General features: G+C 38.4%; 1 protein-coding gene and 1 long non-coding RNA gene across 26 annotated transcripts in view, besides 2 other annotated features; one reads left to right on the top strand and one right to left on the bottom strand.

The window, feature by feature from the left end:
- The window catches only part of GPHN (gephyrin), a 1,227,209-nt gene that overhangs the window by 562,566 nt on the left and 637,971 nt on the right, over positions 1 to 26,672 (bottom strand). For 22 of the 23 annotated variants that reach the window (XM_011536340.4, XM_017020913.3, XM_011536343.4 and 19 more), the window contains 3 exons: positions 13,302 to 13,375; positions 7,564 to 7,628; positions 3,754 to 3,857 (listed from right to left, as the gene is read on the bottom strand). The exons of the other annotated variant lie outside the window; for it this stretch is intronic. In XM_011536340.4, coding sequence (XP_011534642.1) covers positions 3,754 to 3,857; positions 7,564 to 7,628; positions 13,302 to 13,375 — 243 coding nt within the window. The remainder of the gene's footprint in view (positions 1 to 3,753; positions 3,858 to 7,563; positions 7,629 to 13,301; positions 13,376 to 26,672) is intronic. 23 annotated transcript variants of the gene reach the window in all.
- Positions 1 to 26,672, top strand: part of LOC105370538 (uncharacterized) — a 116,677-nt gene that overhangs the window by 16,575 nt on the left and 73,430 nt on the right. For all 3 annotated transcript variants that reach the window (XR_007064215.1, XR_001750990.2, XR_007064216.1), the window contains exon 2: positions 18,940 to 19,030. This is a non-coding gene — a long non-coding RNA (uncharacterized LOC105370538). The remainder of the gene's footprint in view (positions 1 to 18,939; positions 19,031 to 26,672) is intronic.
- Positions 3,611 to 4,810: an enhancer, noted in NCBI's record as "MED14-independent group 3 enhancer chr14:67634697-67635896 (GRCh37/hg19 assembly coordinates)". NCBI's record gives its function as "activates an origin of replication core promoter dependent on BRD2, BRD4, P300/CBP and CDK7 cofactors, and independent of MED14, by STARR-seq in HCT116 cells {active_cell/tissue: HCT116}" and the evidence as "EXISTENCE:reporter gene assay evidence [ECO:0000049][PMID:35650434]".
- Positions 8,737 to 8,906: an enhancer, noted in NCBI's record as "experimental_36177 CRE fragment used in MPRA reporter constructs". NCBI's record gives its function as "activates a minimal promoter by MPRAs in K562 erythroleukemia cells, with activity observed for the non-introgressed 14:67630686 variant allele {active_cell/tissue: K562}" and the evidence as "EXISTENCE:reporter gene assay evidence [ECO:0000049][PMID:34662402]".

Below are 26,672 nucleotides of genomic sequence, written 5' to 3'. Positions count from 1 at the left end.
GGAGCACTGCTGTCATTTGGGCCCTGGGGTGGGGGCAATAAATAGCATAGCAATGACTGCACTTCCTAGGAAGAGGTGTTTCTCAGCTGCTCAGACACTAGGGGGGTAGTCTAGCTTCAGGAAAGGAGAGTAGGAAGTTGTTTGACCTGTAGGATGAGGTGTCTCAGCTCAGCCACTGCTCTGTTTCCCTGGGTTGTGGGTACTACATCGGCATAGTTCTGGATGCCCAGCTGCTCAGTTCAGCCAGGGCACCTAGGGACTATGTGCTGCTTCAGCTCAGGCCCTGGGGACATGGCTGTTCTGGGTGGCTCTGGCACTTTTTCTCTGGGATAGAGGGTGCTGCTTTAGCTTAGGTACTAGAGTGCATGATTACTTTGGGCAGCAAAAGCATCATTTCCTGGGATGCTGGGTGCTGGCTCAACTTAGGCTAGTACATGACTGAACTTAGGGATGCATGACTGCTCTGAGCAGCCAAGATACTGTTTTCCTAGGAGGCCGTATATGGCTTTAGCTCTGGCTGAGGGGGATGCGGCGGGCGGCGGGCTGGGTGGAGTAGCTCCACCTCTATTTGGCTCCACTGGGAAAGTTGTAACAGCTGCTTGCATCTCAGCCTGTGGATGTTAGGCCACAGTGTTGGGGTAGCATTGGGGATGAAGGGGTGCTGTGACTACTTGCTCCCAGAGCAAGAAAAACTCTAGCCATAGTTCCAATTCCAACATGGTGTAGTGCAGTAGTTGCACAGGCCACAGAGGTTGGAGCATAGCGTTGACTCCTTTACTGGGGGGAGCATAGCTCTGTGGACTCCAGGCAGTTCCTTCAGCTGGGCTTCATGCTTGTGAGGGCTGCAGGGTTTCCCATTGTGAGGTCTGTAGGTGTCCAAAGTGTTGATGGGGGTTGCTGGGATCCTCTGCTTAATTCCTTGCCAAGGGAGTTCTTCCTGGTTCCCAGCTGATCCAGCTGGGGGATGCGATGGTGGAGGCCTGGTGTTTCCTTCTGTTCTCGATGTGACCATCCTGAGTTTCTGTGCTCACCAGGGTTTCTGTTACTCCACGGATACACTCTGCTGCTCTTCTTCAGTTTTTTTTCATTAAAATGCAGTTATTTATTCATTGTTCTGGCTGTGTTTGTGAGGGGGGGATGGGCATGAGGGACTTATAGTTGGCTATCCTCTAGAACATGCTTTCCCCCTTTTCTGTCTCTTAATCACTGCTTGAGATAAGTTGTTAATACTAATGGGAGTTACTCCAGGTATGTTTCTAGCGAAAAAAGCTGAGAACAAGGGTGGTAGAGTGCTTTAATGGGATATTAAGGAAACACATGATAGAAGGTCCTTGCATGGAAACACGGGGTCAATAATTCTATTTGATGAATTGCTAGGATTGTGTTCCTTTCTTTTTCTTTTTCTTTTTTTTTTTCTTTACCAGATGCTTTGGAAGTGTTTCTTATTGTGTACTGAAAATGAGAAGATTTTCACCTCCAACCATAAGTGACCAAGGAAATAAGGGAAATGTTTGTTCTAAAATGATGCTCTTCTGAATGCTTTGATATGAAAGGATGACATTTTATTTTCATTTTTTTTTTACATTTTCTTTTTGTTAATTTTTTTAGAGGCAGGGTGTTGCTATGTTGCCCAGGCTGGTCTCAAACACTTGGCCTCATGCAATCCTCCTGCCTGAGCCTCCTGAGGAGCAGGGATTACAGGCGAGTGCCACTGTGCCTAGCAAGGATGACATTTTCTGCACTGACACACAGAATGGCCACATCAGAGTCCAACAGTATGATTTACCAACAGCAGCATTTAACACTGACTCCCACTTCCTGAAAGCAGCAAGCATTGGTAAAGGCAATGACTGTGGCATCTATTCTGAAGAACAGTAATAAGTGGTGTGTGTAAGCTGCATCTTTTATGGTCAGAAAGGAGAGATAAGACTTATCACGTTTCAAGGAAGTATATGTTTATGCTTTAAAGTGGCAGTTGTGTCAGTACTGATGTGGGGATGATTTGGAAAGCTAAGAAACAAAAGAAACAAATAGCCAAGCATACTGATGACCCATACTGGCAGTCCCAGTGACACTGCTGTGGGAGAAAGGCATTTGACTGATTTTTTGACCACTTCTTAACATCCTTTGCTGACAGGAAATGGACACCATCAGGAACAACATATCAAGCATCAGTCTGATTACAAAGTACCATCTCATCTTTGTTGTCAGAATAGATGGCTGCTATGTCTGTTTTAAAGAAGAGATGGTGGATGTTACAATGAGAAATAAGTGAAAGAATTCATAAGAGATCTGCAAAGTCAAAGGGAAGCCTTCTTTCTCTCTCTCTTATAATAATGTGAATTTTTATTTCCTTAATTTAGTAAATATGAAGATAGTAAATTCAGTACTATTGGTTTGACTGTCTAAATCTAAGCTTTATGACTCTGACTTCTGACTTGATCAGAATACTTTTTGTTCATGGATGGTTTTTATTTCTTTTTCCACTTAATTTCAAATTTGATTACCACTGTGATTAATGAAAAAAACTCTAGTTAAATTTTTCATGAAATTTTAAGAAAAGGAGATTGTTTCATATCCTAGTCCACAAAGTTCTTAGCATTTAAACAGTCAATGTTAAGACTATTGAAAGCCTAGATTTTTTTAATGTTTTTATCCTATGTATTCTCAGTGTAATTTTTTAAAATATTTTATCTTTTTATTTTTATTTTGAGATGAAGTTTTGCTCTTGTTTCCCAGGCTGAAGTGCAATGGCATAATCTCGGCTCACTGCAACCTCCGCCTCCCGGGTTCAAGCGATTCTCCTGCCTCAGCCTCCTGAATAGCCGGGATTACAGGCACCCACTACCACGCCCAGCTAATTTTTTCTATTTTTAGTAGAGACAGGGTTTCACCACGTTGGCCAGGCTGGTCTTGAACTCCTGACCTCAGGTGATCCACCTGCCTCGGCCTCCCGAAGTGCTGGCATTACAGGCGCCAGCCATTGAGCCTGGCCTAATATTTTATCTTTTATGTTTTTTGCTCTTCCTGTCAACTAATCATAGCATTCTGCCATATTTGAATTTACTTCGGAACACTTGGAAAGTAATGGTTTGGTACTGTAGTTTATACTGCTAAGAACATTATTCATTAGTCACAGAGAAAGTGTATAACATAATTAGTTGAGTAGTAGTAAATCACATTGAAGTTAGTGTTGGTGGAGAAGGAGACCTAATTTCCAGGTGACTTTTACCATGGTATATTTCTCAGCCTTAGCAGTTCTCTTCTAAACAATATGGTTACCCTTTCCCTGAATCACCAGGGTCTCTTTGTAGTCCTTTGTCTTCTTCTGAATTGTTTAAAATTTATCGTTGAAGTCACAGAAAAAGTGAGCAGGTTAATTGCTGTCCCTCTGAGTTTGCATGGGGAAAAGAAAATTCTCCCTTGTTCCAGACAGGTCTAGTGTTAGGGTAGAGCCAGATATATCCTATTGACTGTTTTGTCCTTAAGTATCACTCAAGTTTTTAAGCCGTGCTCTCTGGACTCGTATATGGACTTCTATCTGGAGAAAATGATTCACTTTAGAAGTCATGAAGTAGGAGAATTAAAGGGACCCTTTCTCCTACATTTTCTAGTACACAGGGGGAGAATATAATCACATTTTCCATCAAAACTAATAGAAAACTCTAGATGTTTATTTTGGACAGTTAGGAAATCATATCCCTAACTGTTACCAGGCTTCCATTTTGGTTTCTGGTCATTAGAAAGCATTACCCTTGCTTTGATGATGGTTGGCCGAGGATCCAAGATGCCCTGCATTTTCCTCAGTGCAGGCACAACAAAGAGATTGCAGGTGACCACAGCCGATACAGGATTCCCTGAAAGTCAACCAAGCAGTTATTTATAATACACTGTGTAACAATTTGCCAAATAATTATGTCTGTCTATATCTTTGGGTATCAGAATGTGACGGAAGTGACTAGGCACTATTTTTCCTCTTCTGAATCACCTTGAATCCAACCAGAACAGAGGTATAGTCAACTAAATGCCACAGGGGGTGTAAACATTTGCGTCTTTCAGTAAAATGGAGAATTCTGCTGCCCAGAAGCTGTTTAACGCCATTTATTTCCGCTTTCCTGAGAGCCAGCTGAAAGCCATTACTAATCTTATTATCAAGATTACTCATTACTAATCTTGTTTTAAAGCCGTTTACAAGTTTTATATATCTATTTGCTATTTTTTAAGCATTTAAAAATTACTATAGTATTACAAGCTTGGTTCCCAAACTGAGAAAACATAGATAAGCATAAGGAAACTTATTTATAATCTTCTCTACCTGGATATTTCTTTAAATTAAAAAAAAACACCAAATGATTTAAGAAGTGTTTTAAGGACCTGAAGATGAATACTGTTATGGATTGAATTCATATGATAAAGCTATAACTCCAATATGATTGACTATATTTGGAGATAGGGCCTTTAAGGAGGTAATTAAGGTAAATAAGGTCATAAAGATGTGGCCGTAATCCAATAGGACTGGTGCCCTTATAAAAAGAGGAAGAGACACCAGGAGTCTGCACACATACAGGAAAGATCATGTGAAGACACAGTGAAAAGGTTGCTGTCTACAAGCCAGGGAGAGAGGCCTCACCAGAAGCCAACCTTGCTGGCACCTTGATTTTGGACTTCCAGCTTCCAGAACTGTAAGAAAATACATTTCTGTTGTTTCAGCTACCCAGTCTATGGTATTCTGTCATGGCAGCCTGAGCAGACTAATACAAATACCACATTCTTTTAAAGTTATGAGAAGAATTTGAGGAATTCCACTATATCACTCCAAGAAGAAATCTAGGTGTGTCGTACACTTCAAAGGAGGAAGGGTGGGCTGTGAAGAAGCAAACAACCACTGGGCTGTAAATAACAGATTTGATTTCTTGTGTGGCATTATTATCTAACCAAGCTGTCTGATCTTGGCAAGTTCCAAAGTTTTTTGAGTCTAACTTTACTCATCTATGAAATGAAAGGTTTGGACTACATGATTCTCAAGATCTCTTCTGGTTCTAAAATTTCAGTTGTTTTAATACTTTTATACAGTTCTATGTAAGCATGAATGTATAACCTGGAGTGGGGAATGGGCTACTAGATTTTTAGGTTCCCTTGGCATGGCTAAACACTGCTTATTGCATCATCAAGTCAAAAGGCAATGGTCAGTTTAGCCTATTATTAGCTATAATCATACCTCCAATTCTCTTCTACCTGCAAAAGTGCTTAAGAATAGATTTTTTAAGGTGCAAAAAGTGACAAGTGATACTAATAGTTTCGATGGAAAAATGAGTTGCCCACAGAATAGCAGACTCTTAAAAAGAATCAATTACTTTCCCTTGCTTCAAAATACAAGTAGATAGAATATTTTTTTCTGGAAAAGCAAAAAAACCCCAAACCAACAAATAAAAAAGCCATTGTAAATCAAGGATTATAAAATCCATGTAATACTACCACTTTATAACATTACTGTATAAAAAATGAAGTGCTCTAATTATTTTAGAGGCAGGGTCTTGCTATGTACGAAAAAGGACTGGAAGGACTGATATAAAAAACTTGTAATAGTGGTTTATCCATATGTGGGTGTTGGGGGATTATGGTTAACACTTTTTTATGCTTATCTATATTTTCTGATTTTTACAATAGTGAGCATGTGTCACTCTAGCAATGTTAAAAATGTCCAAAAAAACAAGTAAATATACAAAACTTTGATTTAAAACTTGTCGAGATTAGGGATGGCTTTAAACGCATGGCCTACAGGAAAGCAGAAATACACTTTTGAAATTGAAAATCCTTGTAAAGCTGCGCATGGTGGCTCATGCCTGTAATCCCAAAACTTTGGGACGCTGAGACAGGTGGATGGCTTGAGCTCAGAAGTTGAGACCAGCCCGGGCAACATGGTGAAACCCCGTCTCTACAAAAAATACAAAAATTAGCCAGGGGTGGTAGCAAGCGCCTATAGTCCCAGCTACCTGGGAGGCTGAGGTGGGAGAACGGCTTGAGCCTAGGAGGCAGAGGTTGCAGTGAGCTGAGATCGCGCTGCTGCACTCCAGCCTGGGCGACAGAGCCAGACCTTGTCTCAAAAACAAACAAACAAACAAACAAAAAACACAAAACACAAAAAACAAACAAAACCAATAACAACAAAAACAAGAAAGAAAATCCTTGTAAATGGAACCACTTTGCACATTCTACAATCTGAACATGTGAGTTTCTGCTGCCCTCTGTTGGTTCACTCAGGCTGAGCAGATAAGGTTTCAAATTAAAAGTAGGAATTTGAAAACAGGTTTTAATTTTATAACATCTTTGGCATAATGGTGAAATAGGCTCCCACAGTAACATTCTTTGTTATAATATCACTGATGGTCTGTAGGTTAAGTCATATCTTCCGTAGACAAAAGAGGCTCTTCCAGGCTAAATGAAGCTAGGAAAAGGAGCACATTTCTTTATACAATGGCTATCAGAGCATCCAAGGAATTATGAAAGGTCCTAAGGCGTTTCATGTTACAGATACATTCTGAGGACTATTTTACTTAAATGTTCTCTCTCTGAAAATTTTCTACATGATAGAAATCTAATCTCTTTTATGCTTATAGATAGGGGCTTAAAATGTTTTCAAAGTTTAACATTTTTCTGCCTGCTTCCATTTCTTTACATTTCCATTTTGAGATATACTTGACCTAAAAAACAAACAAAGATCCAAAAGCCATGAGATTTGTAAATCTTAAAGAAATAGGTTATTTTCTAAAGGAATCTGTGCCAAAAAATAGAGAACTGAACAGAATGATCAGAAGATAATTTTAAAGTTAAAAAAAAGATGCACAATAAATTATTTTAAAATTTATCAAGATTCACCATGACTTTATATAACCCCAAATCACAAAAAATTTGAATTTGAAAATCATCGTGAACTGAACCTGCTTTGCTCTTTCTATAATCTGAACATGTGAGTTTCTGCTCACGTTGGGACAAGGGTGGGAGTGGGGAAGTTGTAGACTGATGATGAGTAGGATTTGGCTGAGAAGCACTAGTTCCAGTAGCCTGGCCTTTCCTCTTCCCCCTCCCCTCAACCAGCCCAAATCTGGCAAGGACCAGAGGCAGCTTTGTATTTTTTGATTTGGTATTTGCTTGGGTGACTCAAGGCATTTTGGCCTCTAGAGCACAATACTTCTGGTTATGAGAGGTATTCGGCTGCTAACTTCGACCAATTTCCTGTAAGGAAAAAGCAGGTGCTCCAGAAAGATCTAGTGACAGCTAACACTTGATGATCATCTTAGGATTTGGAATGTGCTTTGATAGGATTTGGAATGTGCTTTGATATATATTATCTAATCTGACTTTCACACCAACCCTATGAAGTAGATATTAGTCTTATTTTATAGGTGAAGAAACTTCCTAGAGAGGTTAAGTGATTGGTCGTTTAGAAAAGCTGAGACTTGAGCCCAGGTCTTTCAGATTTCAAACCAGGTGGTCACATGAGAAGTCCAAAAAATTTTGGCTATTTTTCCAGAAAAAGGAAAGGAAACAATTTGTTATTCTTACCAGGTAGTGCAAAGATTATTTTTCTTACACCATCAATATCCAAAGTTGCAAATGTTGTTGGCAAGCTAGAAGAAAAAAAGAGTCACTTGTTAGTGATTGCTAAGCAATATGATGAATACATTAAGTACTCCAGTGTTTTTGTAATCCATACACTTATCATATAAAAAACACTTTTCTGTTGACTTGCCTTTACATCTTTATACTCTGAAGTATTCCACAGACACTTAAATAAGTTTGTTTTTAGTATTTCCTGTTTTCAAGTAACCACACTTTCTGGTTTAAAGAAAACTACTTACTTTTTTTTTTTTTCTTGCCAGTGCCATAGAAATGTACTCCAAATCTTGGAGTTTCCAAGTTTTCCCACCCCTCTAGTTAATAATGTTTATACTACTTTTGCTGGCGATTTACAACAATCATTCTTAAAAGCAGAAGACTGGCCAGGCATGGTGGCTCACACCTGTAATCCCAACACTTTGGGAGGCTGAGGGGGGTGGATCACTTGAGGTCAGGAGTTTGAGACCAGCCTGGCCAACATGGTGAAACCCTGTCTCTACTAAAAATACAAAAATTTGCCAGGCATGGTGGTGTGCGCCTGTAATCCCAGCTACTCGGGAGGCTGAGGCAGGAGAATCGCTTGAACCTGGGAGGCAGAGGTTGCAGTGAGCTGAGATGGCCACTGCACGCCAGCCTGGGCGACAGAGCAAGACTCCATCTCAAAAAAAAAGAAAGCAGATTACCTGATAATATGTCTATCAGACAGTTGCCTATTGTTCAAAATGAGTATTTTTTAACCTTTTTCTTTCAATCCTGCTCCTTCTGTATTAGCCTTTTAAAACTATCCTTAGCATAGACATAAACACTTCCCTCTTATCAAGACATTATTTTTGAAATATCAAAATAAATAAAATATCATGACTAGAACAAAATTAACAGTTTTTTTTTTTTTTTTTTTTTTTGGAGATGGAGTTTTGCTCTTTGTCGCCCAGGCTAGCGTGCAAGGGTGTGATCTCAGCTCACGGCAACCCCCGCCTCCCGGGTTCAAGTGATTCTCCTGCCTCAGCCTCCCGAGTAGCTGGGATTACAGGCACGTGCCACCACGCCCGGCTAATTTTGTTTTTTTAGTGGAGACAGGGTTTCTCCATGTTGGTCAGGCTGGTCTTGAACTCCCGACCTCAGGTGATCCGCCTGCCTCGGCCTCCCAAAGTGCTGGGATTACAGGTGTAAGCCACCGCACCCAGCCACAATTAATAGTAATTTAAAAATATTCTCAAATTACACTTCCTCAAGATTTTGACATGAACTCTTATCATAGGAGGTGGGGTGGAAGGAGTGAGTGGCATAGAGTGGGCAGTTGAGAATAGTGTTTTTTTTTTCTATTAATTACCCTTTATATAGAATTTTAGCTAATAAATCTCATTATATTAATGAACCTTAAGCAATGCAGAATTCTTAGGGCATACTTTTTTCATACAGATGAAATATTAACCTTTTAAGCACTCACATTGTTTTATTTTTACTCTTTTTGGAGGTTGATCTTTCAAAAATAGATCTCTCACTCTTTACCTTTTGCAATAATACAGTGACACTGACTTCTTTTGATGATTTATAGCCATCATTATTAATGTGTACTACTCTGCTGTAATACAGTGATGTTAGGTCACAAGAGTACTATGGGTTGTTTTCACCCATAAACCATAACCCCACATTGCTATGTTTCTATAGTTCTTGTTTCTGTTTTTTTATTCCTTCCCAATTTTTTTTTTCCTGTGGCACCCTGTAATGCGAGATTGCTATCATCTTGACCATTAAAGCTGGTTTTAGGTTTGAGAACCAGAGAATAGTAGCAATAGTTATATTGTTAGAATGAACATAATAACAGTAATAATAAAAATATCTATTTTTATTTATTTATTTATTTTTTGAGACAAGGTCTTGATCTGTCACCCATGCTGGAGTGCAGTGGCTCAATCATGGCTCACTGCAGTCTCCATCTCCTGGGCTCAAGCAATCCTCCAGCCTCAGCTTTCCAGGTAGGTAGGACTACAGGCATGCACCACCATGCCCACCTAATTTTTTTTATTTTTAATAGAGATGAGGTCTCGCTATGTGCCCAGGCTGGTCTTGAACTCCTGAGCTCAAGCGATCCTCCTGTCTCAGCCTCCCAAAGTACTGGGATTACAGGTGTGGGCCACTGGGCCTGGCTAAAATATCTATTTTTTAAGTAACATCTATGTATCACATTAATTATTTCATTTAAGTCTTACAACAAGCTTATAAGGTAACAATTAGAATCCCAGTTTATATGGAAACTGAGATTCAGAGAGATTAAGCAATGTGGTCCAAGTCACTCAGCTACTAAGTGGAGGAACACAGATTTGAACCAAGGTTGTTCTAACTTTAGCTGATATGTGGATAAAGATCTCACAGGATGGTTATGTAGCGTTAGTACATGATCTTTGGACATCTATTTTGGCTACTCTGAGGCTTTTCTTTAGCATACTTCCTGATTCTTTGCTGTTTTAGAAAAATGAGATTCGATTTTGATACTGATTTATGGATAGGTTATTTGGCAATGATTATTAGTGTGTGATGCAAATAATTTCAAAGATTTGTTCTTAATAACAGCTATGCTCACTGTAGATGACGCAATAAAAACCGTGATTGGTAGATCTGGTTGCTGATACTCCAAATGCTTTTCTGAGTATCTTTGTCTCTAAAATGAAAGAGCTTAATTGCATTCTGAAAGCACTGTTACGTGGAAATAGCAAAGCCAGATTGTATTTGTGTGTTTTATATTTCTTTTGTTCTAATATTAAGTAGCAATTACCTTTAAGTTCTTATTACCTTTAGACAAGCATAAAATTCTGGTGAACTAAAAGAAGCCCATTTAAACTTCAAAACTACTTTATTTTAGCAAACCTACAGATAATAAGAATGAGGAGAGAATGTATAACACCTTCTTCCTTCCACTGCATTTAAAGCCCATTGAAATTATAGGGCCAATTTAAGCAATCTTTTGCATCTTGCAGGTAGGTAATGTAATTTCTGTAAAGTTACTCATTTAAAAAAGGATTCCATTGCAAAAAAATATTTTGTTATTATGCATGGCTATCATAAATGTCCTATTGCTAAACTGTGAATTTTTTTTTAAGCTCTGGAAGCCATTTCCTTGGAACTCAAAACCTATTATTCAGTTCTCCTCTTGAGCTCAGACTATAACAGCATTTACACAATGGCTGAAGTCAGAGTGTTATGATTTTAAGGGAGGAAATAAAATGTTAGGAATTGATGAACTGCTAAAGTTGAAGTGAGTGGTAAATAACAGATTGAAAAAAAGAGTATAAAAGTTATCACAGGCACTGAGAATATTTTAAATGATAGATATTACACAAATAACTCTTCTCTAGAGGTAAGGGCAAGTCGTGTTGGCTTCTTTCCCTCTGCAAATAGAACAATCAATTAATTTTTTTTTTTGAGGCAGGGTCTTACTCTGCTGCCCAGGCTGGAGTGCAGTGGTGCTATCATGGCTCACTGCCACCTCCGCCTCAAGTGATCCTCTCGCCTTAGCCTCCCAAGTAGCTGGGACTACAGGCATGTGCCACCACACCTGACTAATTTTTGTATTTTTTGTAGAGACGGGGTTTTGCCATGTTGCCCAGGTTGGTCTCCAACTTCCGGGCTCAAGCGAACCACCCCCACGGCCTCCCAAAATGCTGGGATTATAGGTGTGAGCCACTGCACTCGGCCCAATTCAATTTTTGAGGTTTTGAGAAGCACACTGATATGCTTTTGGGATATCCTCTGTATCCTAATCAGATTAGTACTGCCCATGGGCTCAGAAAAAAAAAAAAGCAGTTATACCCAATAGCATAACAATATTTGCGTAAGACAAAATCCAATAGTTTCTTTCTTTTCTTTTCTTTTTTTCTTTTTTGAGACAAGGTCTCACTCTGTTACCCAGGCTGGACTGCAGTGGCATGATCTCGGCTCACTGTAACCTCTGCTTCCCAGCTCAAGCGATTCTTCAGCCTCAGCCTCCCGTGTAGCTGGGACTAGAGGCACAAGCCACCAACGCCCGGCTAATTTTTGTATTTTTTATAGAGATGGGGTTTCTCGATGTTGCTCAGGATAGTCTGGAACTCCTGAGTTCAAAGCAACCTGCCTGCTTCAGCATCCCAAAGTGTTGGGGATTATAGGCGTGAGCCACCATGCCCAGCCCCAATTCAACAGTTTCGATAATAAAAAGGCCCTATCAGCAGCAGCCATATTGGGGCATGCTCAACATGCAACTACAGAAATACAAAGCCAAGAATTCTATCAAATTGTGGACAAAGCTTTAGGAATAATCTTAATTCTATACTAAAAATGGCCAAATCGTGGAGGTAAAGCCTGATCTCTATCCTAGAACTGACATGAGGTACTTATTAGGAGGGCTAGCTTGATACTTTAAAGGCTTTTGAAATTTGTTGATGGTACCCATAGCTCACTTACAACAACTGAGAAGCCTCTACTCCATTCTCTCCTAGGGTTCATTGACAGTAAAGCATCATTACTGTTGTCCCTGACAGCATGGAGGTGGGCTGGAACTCTCAGCCATACAGTTGAGGTCTCTGCACAGGAAATCATAGGTTCATAGAGTAGCAAAGGTCTAAACAGATAGACTATTTCTTAAAGATATGGCCATATCTTTCACTAATACCAACGTTTGGCAACCTTTGAGGATTTATAACTGACTTCAGGACCTCCATCAGCCCTTCTTTAGGGATTATTAATTTTTAAGAGATGTGCAAATTCATGGTTATTTTCCTTAGTTATTTTTCTTTCCTCCTAGGGGCCAGTAGGAAACAGTGTGAAAGCCTACTTAATGAAACATTCTTGCAAAGGAAAAAAAAAATTAAACCTGAATTTAATCAAGCCTTTATATCTTTCAATTTATAGCATATATCAGAGACAGAGGAACATAACCTAAGGAAGTAATCAGCCAAATCCATTCATCAGGAAACATGATCCATTTTCTCTAGCAAGTCAATGGCACAACAACAACAAAAAGGGTGGGGGCAGAAAATGTTCTCATTTAATAGAGACTTAACAAACAAATACACTGAGTCGACCTTAATGGAATCCTTATCAAACAAAACAATTATAAAAAGGCATTCTTTTTCTTGATATATGGGAGAAATTTGAATATGATCAGGGTATTAGATGATATTAAAGTATTATTTATTTTGTTAGATGACATAATACTACTGTGATTAGGTAAGAGAATGCTGTTGTTAGTATTATTATTTCAGATGTATACCAAAATGACATATCTAGAATTTGCTTTTAAACAAACCAGCCCTCCCTCCCAACTAAAAGGCAGGGTGGGGTGGGGGTTCGTTCCCTACTTTTGTGTATATTTCAGAGTTCTCATATTAATTATTTTTAAAAACAGATAAAGAAGCAGTTTGGGGAAAAAGAGAAAAAGAGGAAGAAGGAACTAGGGATGAGAATTAAAAAGGAGAAAAAGTTTGGAAAGTTGCTGTGTTTTGTTTATACCAAACTCATTGACTCATAAGGAAGATGAATTCCTATTTCATTAGAACCTGCACTTGTGCAAAGGATCCTAATACTATATTTCTTTTTTTTTGGAATAGTTAATTCATAATAGGAAATGTAAAAAGAAGGCATTTAAAAATTTGTTAGTTAAAGCAAGCCAAACCAACCCCATATATGAGATAACAAGATGATTTTCATACCCTGGTTTCATAAAAACCCTGCCAAAATGGATCTGAGCATGAAGATCAATGTCCAGCACCTGCTTGAGATAGTCCTGCAAACATTAAAAATAATCACTTTACTTTCAAACATTTTAATATTAGACTTTCAACACTTTAAATGAACATTAAATTAATAAGATTGAAATGAAAAGAAACATCTTTCTTATTTTAATGGAGTTGATTTGCTTAACACAAATATTCCTTCATTCTTCATTTATCCATTTATTCATTCAATAAATAGTTACTTAACACTTGGTATATGATGAGTACCAGTCTATGTGTAGGGGGATACAGCCTTGAACAAAAGAGACAACATCCCTGTCCTCACAGAAAGTACATTCTAGTAGGAGAAGTTAGATAAAAACAAAACAACTACATTAATGTATAATATCATTAGCTGGTGCGTTATTGTTTCTCTTCTAAGATAGAATTTTATGTCTGAAGAAGGATGTTAACAAATATGTCTTAAGTTGTACCCGGGCAAGAAACCTACATGTATGTATCCTACACCATTCTGCTTAATGATCTTAAAGCCATATACATTCCTTGAAGAGAGACTTGAACATATGCCCACAGATTACTTAGATTTGTCAAATCTAAATAGCTCAACTAAAATGAAAAACAGGAAAGGAACTCTAAAACAGAAAGTCAAGGGAGTTTTAACTACTCCAACTTTATATTCTAGTATTAAAAACAAAACTAACCTGTGGCTATGACCAACCCACAGTGATATTACAAAATCTGATCTTTGGAAATGAAATATAACACAGCTCTGCAGCTGGTGTTGTAGACAGAAAGAAAAAAATTGCACTCCTTAACATTTCTCTTAAATAATAAAAACCTAGGTCTATTACTAAATTTTTTGGTTTACTAATCTAAAAATGAGTCCAGTAACCTGTCTACATTTTAAATATTTCACAAACTATTAGGTACTTTTATTTGTAAAAATGTGTTCCCTTCTATCTCTACAGCCTCAGCCAACATCATCTCACCGGGATTGCTGAAATAGGTCTCCTTGCCAATAGTGCCACCCTCCTCCAATTCATTCTCCCCACAGTAGTAACAGAGATCCTCTGAGATAAATTTGATCAAGTGACTATATAATACTTTAATAAGTTGCTGGTTTTTAGGAAAAAGTATCTTTTTTTTTTTTTTTTTTTGAGATGGAGTTTTGCTCTCGTCCTCCAGGCTGGAGTCCAACGGTGCGATCTTGGCTCACTGCATCCTCCTCCTCCTGGGTTCAAGCAATTCTCCTGCCTCAGCCTCCCGAGTAGCTGGGATTACAGGCATGCACCACTACGCCCAGCTAATTTTTCTATTTTTAGTAGAGACACTGTTTCACCAGGTTGGCCAGGCTTGTGTCAAACTCCTGACCTCAGGTGATCCACCCGTCTCGGCCTCCCAAAGTGCTGGGATTACAGGCGTGAACCACTGCACCAGGCCATATCATCTTTTAAATATCAAATATTCCTATATTTTCTAGCCCCCCCAATCATTGTTCTCATCCATCTCACCCAGCCACATTCCTATCAATCTTTCTCTCCGTCTACATTCTAGCAAGACTCCTTCCTTCCTTCCTTCTCCCCTGCCCCACCCCCGCCGCCACTCTCTCTCTCTTTTTCTCTTTCTCTCTTCTTCTTGAGACGGGGTCTCTCTCTGTCACCCAGGCTGGAGTGCAGTGGCATGATCTCGGCTCACTGCGACCTTCGCCTCCTGGGTTCAGGCAATTCTTGTCCCTCAGCCTCCCAAGTAGCTGGGTGGGATTACAGGTGCATGCCACCATGCCCGGCGAATTTTTGTATTTTTAGGAGAGAGAGCGTTTCACCATGTTGGCCAGGCTGGTCTTGAACTCCTGGCCTCAAGCGATCCACCCACCCTGGCCTCCCAAAGTGTTGGAATTACAGGTGTGAACAACCGCATCTGGCCAGTTTCTTAAGCTATTGCCTCCAGTCTTTGAAAATCTTTTTTCTGCCTTGAATACTCTTTCTACCCCACTGTCTATCCCACCTTTATCTTAGTCTCAGTCATCTTCTCAGCCTCCTCTGAACTCCAAAGACTGGGGGACTAGATGAAATGTTGATTATTAATTAATTAATTCACGTATTTTTCATTTTGAGGTTATATTATTAGATATAGTAAATTTGCAAATGTTACTTACATATTCCTGATGAATTAACTAATTTAAAATAATAAAATGTCCCTCCTAATATCTAGTAATCCTTTTTACCTTAATTTTCTCTATTTGCTCTACATAAAAATGTATTATAAGAAAAGAAAAAGAATTTTCTCTGTTATCAATATAGCTACACCAGCTATATTTCATTGTAACTTTTTCAAATCTTTTACTTTCAGTTTTCTATGTCTTTATAATATTTAAGATGTGTCTCTTATAAGCAGCATATGATTAGCTGTTTTTTTAAAAATCCAGAATGACAATTTTTAACTGAAGGATTCAGTCTATTTACATTTAGTATAATTTTTCTTTTTTTTTTTTTTTGAGACAGAGTCTCACTTGTCACCCAGGCTGGAGTGCAGTGGCGCGATCTCGGCTCACGTTGGCAACCTCTGTCTCCTGGGTTCAAACGATTGCATGTCTCAGCCTCCTGAGTAGCTGGGACTACAGGCACATGCCACCACACCCAGCTAATTTTTGTATAGAGACGAGGTTTCATTACGTTGGTTAGGCTGGTCTCGAACTCCTGGCCCCACATGATCAGTCCACCTCAGCCTCCTAAAGTGCTGGGATTATAGGCATGAGCCACCGCACCTGGCCTACATGTAGTATGATTACTGCTATATTTGGGTTTAAAACTATCACTGTACCATTTGTCACTTCTGCTTTGATTTCCTTTTTCCTTCTTCTATACCTCCCTTAGGATTCATGAAATATTTTTTATTTAATATTCTTTCCCCTCTATTAGCTTGTTAGTTACATATTCTTATATTATTATGTTAGTAATTATTTTAGAGATTTACAATATGCATCCTTGACTTATTACAGTCTACTCATAACTGGGTTTTTAAAAATCACTTCCCAGACAATACAAGAACCTTAAAACATATCAACTCAATTTATGCCTTTCTACCTTTCATGCTATTGTGTGTATATATTTTACATGCATTTTAAGCATATACGTATGTGCATGTATATGTTTATATTTTAAGTATATGTATTTTATTTATTGTATATATTTTCTACATATACTATGTTGACAATATATACTTGATATTTATATATTCACTATATAGTATTCATATTTTAAGCCTCACAAGACATTATTATTTTACATGATCAACACTCATTTACATTTGCTGACATGTTAACCCTCTTTAGTCCTTTCTGCATTTCCATGCTTCCATAATCCTTCCACCTTAAAAACTCTATTTAGTCTAGGTCCGCACAGTTTTTGTTTGGCTGAAATTGTCTTTACTCCACCTTCATTTTTGAAGTACATTTTTGATGACTATAGAGTTCCCTACTGGCAGTATTTTTTTCCTGCATTTTACAAATCCCAGTCCATTGTTTTCTGGGTTCCATCATTTCCATTTAAATCATTTGTTAGTTTTATTGTTGCTCCTTTGAAGGCAATGTGTCCTTCTGGTAAAATTTTCTCCGTCTTTAGTTTTCAGTAGTTTTGCTGATTACCTAGGTATGGTTTCTTTTATTTATCCGGCTCGAGATTAGTAGAGCTCCTAGAATTTCTGGCTTGATGTCTTTTATTGATTTTGGAAAACTATCCGCCAATATTTTAAATATCGTTTTGCTCACTCTGTCTCCCCTCTCCTTCTTAGACTTCATCTACATATATGTTTGACCTTTCACCACATCCCATTTGTCTTTTATGCTCATTTCTATATTTTCTATCCCTTTTCCAAAATTTCAATTTGATTCTTATGAATAGATACCAGTTTTCTAGTGAAATTTCCCACTTTGTCATCCCTTTTTCTTAAACATATAATGGTTATTAAAGTCCATGTGAGACAATATAAGTATCAGCATCATTTTTAGGTCTACTTTATCAATTGTTTCCTATCTTAATTTTTAGTCATTTTGCTCTATCTCTAGCATGTCTGGCAACTTTTCAGATTGAAGCCCAAATATCAGGTATGAAAAAATTGAAAAGGCTTTGGACAATGATATATTCCTCCAAAAAGAATTTGAGGTCTTCTGGCAGTTAAGGAAAACTCAGATTATCTTGATCTAATCAGGGATTGAGATAGTTTGATGCTGAATTTCAGTCCGTGTGAAGGCTAGTTTATCTGCAGATTGTCTTTATTCCTAAAGCATAGCCCTTCAAGCTGAAAGCCTGAGATATTTACCAGGGCCCCTCCTCTATAACAGGTCCTGAACTCATAAGACTCATGAAAATTCTGCTTATTTCATTAGCTTCTTAGCTACTCTTTTTTATGCTTGGCTTCTTTGCCTCCTGTAGTATTAATAGCTCTCACCCCACCTCACTCCTGGCTTAGGAATTAGTAAATGCTTTGAGGAAAAATATGGTGAAGAATTCCAGTTTTACTTCTCTGTGGTTCACTTTTTCTCTGGGATCTTAGTGCCCGGAATCCTGGCTGTCTTGGTTATTTTCTTCAGACATCTGCTTTTGCTTTTCTTTAAAAAATTTTACATAGTTTTTATAGATGTTCTTGGTGGGAGAATTGGTCCAAATATGCTATTCTATCATAGCAGAAGCAGAAATCTTCAGGTCTTTCTTATATGCTCCTATAGCACTAAATGCTTCTAACATTATGCACTTAGGTTATAGAGCAACTGCTTTGATAGCTGATATGTATCCTTTGTTAAACTATAAAGTTCTTGAGAACAGGAAACTTCTCTTTTATATATATCTATATATATCTATATCTATATAATGAATCCTTAATGAATAGCATACACCTTTCACTCATTCATTTGTTAGTGCACCAAACATTTCTGAGTGCCTATTATGTATTAGGAATTCCATATGTGCTACGCATTTCATGGTACAGAAGAAAGACATAGTCCCTGACACAAAGATATCCTGTTACATTTTACTGGAGAGAAATAGCCAAAAACAAGTAAACCAACAAATAAAATAATTATAATTTGTGGTACATGCGATGAAGGAAATAAGCAGGTGCTGGGATAGAAAATGATGAGGGTGTGGGGAATAGGAAAGGTCATTCTAGAAGAGGTAGTGATATATTAGCTAAGCCTTGAAGGATAAGAAGGATTCAAGCATGTGAAGTGTGGAGGGAAGAGAATTCCAGAGAAGGGACATACAAATGAAAGCTTCCAAAGTGGCAAAGCGTGCATGGAACTGAAAAGGCAATGGATGGTAGTGAATGAGTAGGAGAGAGGTATAAGCAGAGTTTGAAGAGATAGGCAGAAGCCAGAGTTGCAGGGCCTTGAAGGTTATGATGCAGAGTTTGGAAAGCAGATGCTTATATATTTGCTAAATGAATGAAAGTGTTTTATTTTTCTTGCAAAAAATTGTTTTTAAAAATAGCCCTTTTCATTCTTTTTGAACATGAAGAAGTGCTTCATGCTCCTGTGACAGACAGAAAACTTGTACCAGACATAGTGATAAAGGCTGAGAATCATCATTGTTCTTATATTTTTGTTTACCTATTGAAGCAGCAAGGATCTTTGTCTGATATTCTGAACCCCAGAGTCATATGAGAAGAAGAAAAATGAATGGATGAAGGAATAAGTCTCTTCTTCAACTCAGGTAAGGAGAAACACCAGTGGTCAGAAAAATTGTGCAAAACTTTGAAATGGGCAGAAAAGAATACTGGGTGTCCAGTGCAACACCCACTTTCTGGTTATTTGTATTTTTCAGCTATTTTACAGCAATGAAACTGAATAAAACTGAGAGTAAATGCAATGGACTGAATATGTCCCTCCCCACCCCCAAATTCATATGTTGAAACTCCAATCCCAATGTGATGGTGGGGGCTTTGGGAAGTAATTAGGTGATGAGGGTGGAGTTCTCATGAGTAGAATTAGTGCCATTATAAGAAGAGGCCAGAGAGTTAGCTAGCTCTCTTTCTGCCATGTGAGGGTAAAAGAAGTCAGCTATCTGCAGCCTGGAAGAGGGCCCTCACCAGAACCCATCCATGCTGTCACCTGGATCTTGGATTTCCCAACCTTCAGAATTATGAGAAATAAATGTTTACGCCACCCATTTTATGGTATTTTTTGTTATTTTGAGACAGGGTCTCATTTTGTTGCCTAGGCTGGAGTGCAGTGGTGTGAACACAGCTCACTGCAGCCTTGACCTCTCACCTCAGCTTCCTGACTAGTTGGGACTACAGGCAAGCACCACTATGCCTAGCTAATTTTTATAGTTTTTGTAGAGAGGGGATTTTGCCATGTTGCCTGGGCTGGTTTAGAACTCCTGGCTTAAGGATCTGCCCGCCTTGGCCTCTGAAAGTGCTAGGATTACAGGCGTGAGCCACTGCACCTGGACTTTGGTATTTTTTAAATAGCAGCCTAAGCTAAGACAGTGAACCTTTTTTTTTTTTGACACGGAGTCTCGCTCTGTCACCAGGCTGGAGTGCAGTGGCACAATCTTGGCTCAGTGCAACCTCTGACTCCCTGGTTTAAGAGATTCTGCTGCCTCAGCCTCCTGAGTAGCTGGCATGACAGGCATGCACCACCACACCCAGCCAATTTTTGTATTTTTAGTAGAGATGGGGTTTCCCCATGTTGGCCAGGATGGTCTCAATCTCCTGACCTCGTGATCTGCCCGCCTCGGCCTACCAAAGTGCTGGGATTACAGGTGTGAGCCACCGCGCCCCGCCAGTGAACATAATTTTATTCCAAAGAAATGCAAATGAATTCTGCCCAGTGGAGATGTAATTGATTATTCTGTGGTGGGTATAGATCAGTTTTGCATCTATTAGCAAATTATTTCAGCATTCTTGATTACCTGATTACCTGGGTAGTCAAGAATGCTGAAATGGGTATATTCTTTGAATTCTCCTTTGAATAGGTCATAGCATCTTATTTGCTCGTTGTTGAGTTAAATAAAGTCTTGGAAACATGTTCATTTTATATATTTATGAGATTCATAATTTTTTTACATAGGCAAATATGTAAGATTTTTAAATATCATATAACATTTGCTAAAAGTAATTTATCATTTAAAGAAAAATCATAATGATATAGTGAAGGTTCAATAATATATGTAAATATGACATTTATGGCAAGTGTAGCACAGATGTTGAGAGGGGAAAAACAGAAGTATATCATTGTAAGATTCTTATGCTATACACGAAGTGGTAATATCACTTCTAGGTAGAATATAGAAGTTATACATACTATGAACACTTATGAAACAACTAAATTTATTTACAAAAACGAGGTACAGTGAGTAAGCCAAGAAAGGAGACAAAATCAAGATTAATGATTTTATCTATAAAAAGTTAAACTTTAACAATTCCAGAGGCTCCACTGAGATGCTCCATTGATTCATTGGACAGAGCCAGTTAAACTTCATTGGCAGAGAAGTACACTTTATGAGTGGCTTAAACCTGGGTACAGGCCAGGCATGGTGGCTCAAGTCTGAAATCCCAGCACTCTGGGAGGCTGAGGCAGGCGGATCACTCGAGGCCAGGAGTTCGAGACCAGCTTGGCCAACATGGTGAAACAGCATCTCTACTAAAAAGACAAAAATTAGCCAGGCATGATGGCATGCGCCTGTGATCCCAGCTACTTGTGGGGCTGAGGCATAAGAATTGCTTGAACCCGGGAGGTGGAGGTTGCAGTGAACCAAGATCATGCCACTGTGCTCCAGCCTGGGAGACAGAGCAAGACACTGTCTCAAAAAAACAAAAACAAAAACAAACAAACAAAGGGTACATCTTTCCTTGGTTCCTGGAGTGAATTCCAAGCAGCAATAAAACTGTAACTTTGGTAACTTTTGGTTTCTCTATTTTGGCCTCCGTATTCATTTTGGTTCTGTTTTTGTTTCTGCACACGGCCAATAAGGTATTGCCCCTTGTGGCAGGAATGATTAGGGATTTGGTTTTATGGTCTAATCATTTGGTGATCTCTGTAAAAGGATGATACAAATCTATTTTGTTTGGTTAAGAGAAGACAGAGAATCTGGCTTATTAGTCTTTCTTGTTTATTTCTCTTATTGTCCATTCTGAGGCCAAATCAATTAAGATTTTTGTGCCCTCTAGGAAAGAAAATAGCTCTTTATGAGTGGACTGATGAATATTTATGGTTCTGTGTTTACTCTTGACTTACAGCTCAAGTTGTAAGTAGAACTGAAGCTATTGTGTTTCTTATCTGTCTGTGTGTTCACGTGTCTGTAATACAGAAAAACATTTACCTCATTTTGTGAGTGTGAAGTGTTTGCCTTCCTATTTCTGTAAGGTATTCATAAATTATATCGTCTCTTAAAGATGCCCTGTTCTAACTGGCTGAGAGAGATAGTAAGTTCTTATATAAAATATTTCTAAAATTCCTAGATAATAAATAATTTTAACTTACAATATTTTAAATATGCTACACTGAAAATATTCTACTTATAATTTTGAGAATGTGAGTTCATATAATTAGGATAAATCTGTAGCAAATGAGACTAACTTAATAATTCCAGTTATTAAGGAAACCCAAAAGCCAGGTATGATGACGTGTACCTATAATGCTAGCTACTTGGGAGGCTGAGGCAGGAGGATTATTGCTTAAGCCCAGAAGTTAGAGACCAACTTGAGCAAAATATTGAGACCCTGCCTCAAAACATACATATAAACAAAGAAAAAAAACAAACCCCAAACTTAAATAACAATAATAAAAAAACCTCAGCCATGTTCTTTCTCTTATTTACATCAATCTTAAGTATAACACAAGTATACATTTTATTTCACTTGGGTTTTTCCTAAACTTCTATAGGCTTATTTATCAAATAATCTCACATTTTTCCTATATAATATTTAAGATTATAAAAAAGTATAAAACTGTGATCAACAAAATCAAATAATTATTCTGAAAACCTTACAATGTTTTTTTTTTTTTTTTTTTTGTTTTTTTTTTTTGAGACGGAGTCTCGCTCTGTCGCCCAGGCTGGAGTGCAGTGGCGGGATCTCGGCTCACTGCAAGCTCCGCCTCCCGGGTTCACGCCATTCTCCTGCCTCAGCCTCCCAAGTAGCTAGGACTACAGGCGCCCGCCACTACGCCCGGCTATTTTTTGTAGTTTTAGTAGAGACGGGGTTTCACCGTTTTAGCCGGGATGGTCTCGATCTCCTGATCTCGTGATCCGCCCGCCTCGGCCTCCCAAAGTGCTGGGATTACAGGCGTGAGCCACCGCGCCCGGCCAACCTTACAATGTTAATAGTTATTATGTTTTATAGTATGTCAGTTTCAAAATAATTTAAGATTTTTATTTACTTAAAATCTTGAGTTGATATTAAACTGAATTGATTAATAAATCATCGTAAGATACCTAATTTCTAAGATAGAGTATTAGAGCATTTATTATTAAGCATCATTTTAAGTTATTAGCTTTTTAAAAAGAATATAGTTATTAATTATATAGAAATTAAAACTATATAGTTAGTAACTATGTACTTCTTAAGGTGAATATATTTTGCTGGAAAGGCTGTATTTTTGGGTCATGTTAATGAATGTGTTGATTCATCTTTGCTACACTAAGGTGTAAAAGGGATGTGTCCCGCAGTAGAAAGTTGTGTTCTTTGTGTTTATGAGCTTTGCTAGTCTGCTAAAATGGTTACATATTATTTCTCAATTATCCAAGCTCCCTAGTTTTCTCTATGACACAGATATTAGTTATTTTCTTAAACATCATAATTAATATGGGTAGTTGCAATTATATAAGGAACAATAATGACAGAGAAGTATAACTATAAGTGTTCTTTTGTTTTTCAAGGAAAAATAATATTTTTTTCTTAAGGCCCGATTCTCAGAATTTTTGGTCTCAAGACCCCTTCACATATTCTTAAATTAAAATTCATTAAGGATCCCTAAGAGTTTTTGTTTATGTGAGCTATAGCTATGGATATTTACTATATTAGAAATTAAAACTAAGAAATTAAAAAAACATTTGGTTCATTTGAAAATAACAACAATAAAGCCATTTCATGTTAACATAAGTAACTTCTTTTCTTCTTTTTTGAGACAGAGTCTCACTCTTGTTGCCTAGGCTAGAGTGCAATGGCATGATCTGGGGTCACTGCAACCTCTGCCTCCTGGATTCAAGTGGTTCTCCTGCCTCAGCCTCCCAGGTAGCTGGGATTACAGGCGCCCGCCACCACGCCCAGCTAATTTTTGTATTTTTAGTAGAGACGGGGTTTCACCATGTTGGCCAGGCTGATCTTGAACTCCTGACCTCAGGTGATCCACCCGCCTCAGCCTCCCAGAGTGCTGGGATTACAGGCGTGAGCCACACGCCCAGCCCAGTAATTTATTTTCAATGCGTTGTTTTATAATTTTGAAAATCTCTTTAACTTCTGGGTTACCAGAAGTCAGATTCTCATATCTGATTCACTCAATCTGATGAGATATCACTCATCATTTAGCTGCTGGAAGAACTCAAGCATACACTCATGAGAAAAGGAAAGAGAATGAGAGAAGTGGAATAAAAAAGGCAAACTGGCCGGGCGCGGTGGCTCACGCCTGTAATCCCAGCACTTTGGGAGGCCGAGGCGGGTGGATCATGAGGTCAGGAGATCGAGACCATCCTGGCTAACATGGTGAAACCCTGTCTCTACTAAAAATACAAAAACAAAAAATTAGCTGGGCATGGTGGCAGGCACCTGTAGTCCCAGCTACTCGGGAGGCTGAGGTGGGAGAATGGCATGAACCCGGGAGGCGGAGCTTGCAGTGAGCCGAGATGGCACCACTGCACTCCAGCCTGGGTGACAGAGCGAGCCTCTGTCTCAAAAAAAAAAAAAAAAAAAAGCAAATAAAGTCTTAAAATTATTATGAAAATAGTGTTGACCTTGCAGGTCCTCTTAAAAGGTCTCAAGGACCCTTACGGTTATGAAGACTATTCTTTGCTCTAAAGTGTCAATTTGTTCCAGAATATAAAAGAGCATAATAAAGGACAAACTTTCATGAGATTGTATTTGCCCTGGTTTCTAGTAACTGTGTTTGAAGTGAAGCTGAGAAACATATTAAAATTTTAGTGAGTTTGCTGAGTTTTGATGTGCTTCTTTCTTTGGTACTGATTAACGCCTGTCCTACAATAAGAAAGGTTATTCTTTTTGTGTAATTTGCCTTTTTGTGCTGTTTATCTTTATTTAAAGAAATAAAAAAGCGAAGAACAAAGGTTCCTTATTTATGAATTGAGCCAAGGTTATTTACAGTCATGTTACCTTCTATGTTCATTTTCAAATATTTTATTGTTTTGAAAAATTAGGTAACCAAGTAGTTTCTCAGGTCTTCATCAAGTGCCCCATTCTTTTTTAATAACTTTTTTGATTTTTGCCTTTTAAAGATCAGACCAAAATTTAGGAAAAAATGTGCTTTTCTTACCAAAACTCATCTTTAAAATTTCCTAGAGGGCCTCTAGAAAATCCCAGGTTTGTTTTCATCTATAAAAAGAAATGCTGGGAATAATTAGATTTGTTTAAAGTTTCATGAGAGGAGCTGCCATATCTGAGAAGAGATACTCAGTCTGCCCTAGGTTAGGTTCTTATAGGTAAACTGTTATTAATAGAAATATTTCAGAAATTGTTTGCTTTACGGGAAGTTCCTGGAAATTTGACAATGCCTTTGCTGTTTTACCCTCAGAGGAAACGCTGATTAAAACTTCTAGGCTGGCATGGTGGTTCACGCCTATAATCCCAGCACTTTGGGAGGCTGATGCAAGAGGATTGCTTGAGCCCAGGAATTCAAGGCTGCAGTCAACTATGACGGCAGTACTGCACTCTACCCTGGGTGACAGAGTGAGACTTTGTCTCAAAAAACAAAATACAACAAAAACCTCAAAACAAAACAAAACAAAACAAAAAACCCTACTGTGAAATACTTACATATGTATCTCAAAAGAGAATGTCACTTATCTTCTATTCTGATATTATTGGTTATGGAAGCAAATTAAGCACAGCTCTCAAGTATTTGTCATCCACAGAGAATTTCTGTTTTACTCTGGTGCTTGCCTGAAGGCTTTGCTACAAGCTATAGTCAATAGTTTATGCCCGAAACAGAGACAGATTTAGAGCATTAGGGAAAAGGAGAGTAATAGGCACTTTAACATTGCTATTGAGATATCAAACAATAACCTCTTGAGTACAGGCTTCTGAGGTGATATAGCTTAGCTAACTTTTATGTAGTATCAAAGCTGATGGCTTCAGGAAAGCAGACTGCTAACTCAACATTTAGCAGAACAAGAATGATGTAGGATAAATGAAATATTAAAGAAAATTTTTTTATGTGTATGTTTGGAATATTGATTAGTTTTTTTTGTTTTGTTTTGTTTTTTTGAGACAGAGTCTTCCTCTGTCACCCATGCAGGAGTGCAGTGGCGCCATCTTGGCTCACTGCAACCTCCACCTCCCAGGTTCAAGCAGCTCTTGTGCCTCAGCCTCCCAAGAAGCTGGGATTATAGGCATGTGTCACTATGCCCAGCTAATTTTTTATTTTTAGTAGAGGTGGGGTTTTGCCATGTTGGCCAGGCTGGTCTTGAACTCCTGGCCTCAAGCAATCTGCCCACCTTGGGCTCCCAAAGTGCTGGGATTATAGGCATGAGCCAACGTGCCCAGCCAATTACTTTTAAATATTCTAAGGCTACATGGCTCTAGACTTACAAAACAAATCAAGGAGCTTACATGGTTAATTAACACTCTTATTGCTAAATAACTGGGCAAACCTCATGAAACCAGCCTTTTTTGTGATCGGTTATCATCTATGTGATTACTTTGATCATAAGGGGTGGTGGAGACACTATTAGCAAAACTTAAGAGACTTAGAAATGAGCAAAAAAGGTCACTGGTGTCCAGTTTAGTGCATCCTTCTGGATTATTGCCACCTTTCATTGTCTTTGAGTTATTTAATAATTTTGTAGGTCGAAGAAAACTTATAGTAATGCATATGATTCTTTAGTTTTCATGGCAAAAGGCAGATACTGTTTAACTATTTAACAAGCTTTCAGTGTTTTGTAAAAATGAAACTCTTTGAAAAGAGTATGTAGGGCAGGGTGAGGTGAAGGAGGGGAGAGATCTTTAGGGAAGTAACTGTGGAAGAATCATTTCTCCTTGGCTGGGAAGAAGGTACTGGTCTATGAGTCCAACAAGCAGCAGGGCCCCTTCCTCGCTGTTTAGCATGCAGTATGTTGGAGAAGTGGTCAGACTTTAGAAGGGATGGCTGTGAAATACACCCAAAGAGGCTAGCTGCTCTGA

Source organism: Homo sapiens, chromosome 14 (genome assembly GCF_000001405.40).
Source record: "Homo sapiens chromosome 14, GRCh38.p14 Primary Assembly".
Classification (NCBI taxonomy): Eukaryota; Metazoa; Chordata; class Mammalia; order Primates; family Hominidae; genus Homo; species Homo sapiens.
The sequence above is the reverse complement of the archived record's forward strand: the minus strand, read 5'-3'. Positions and strand labels throughout refer to the sequence as shown.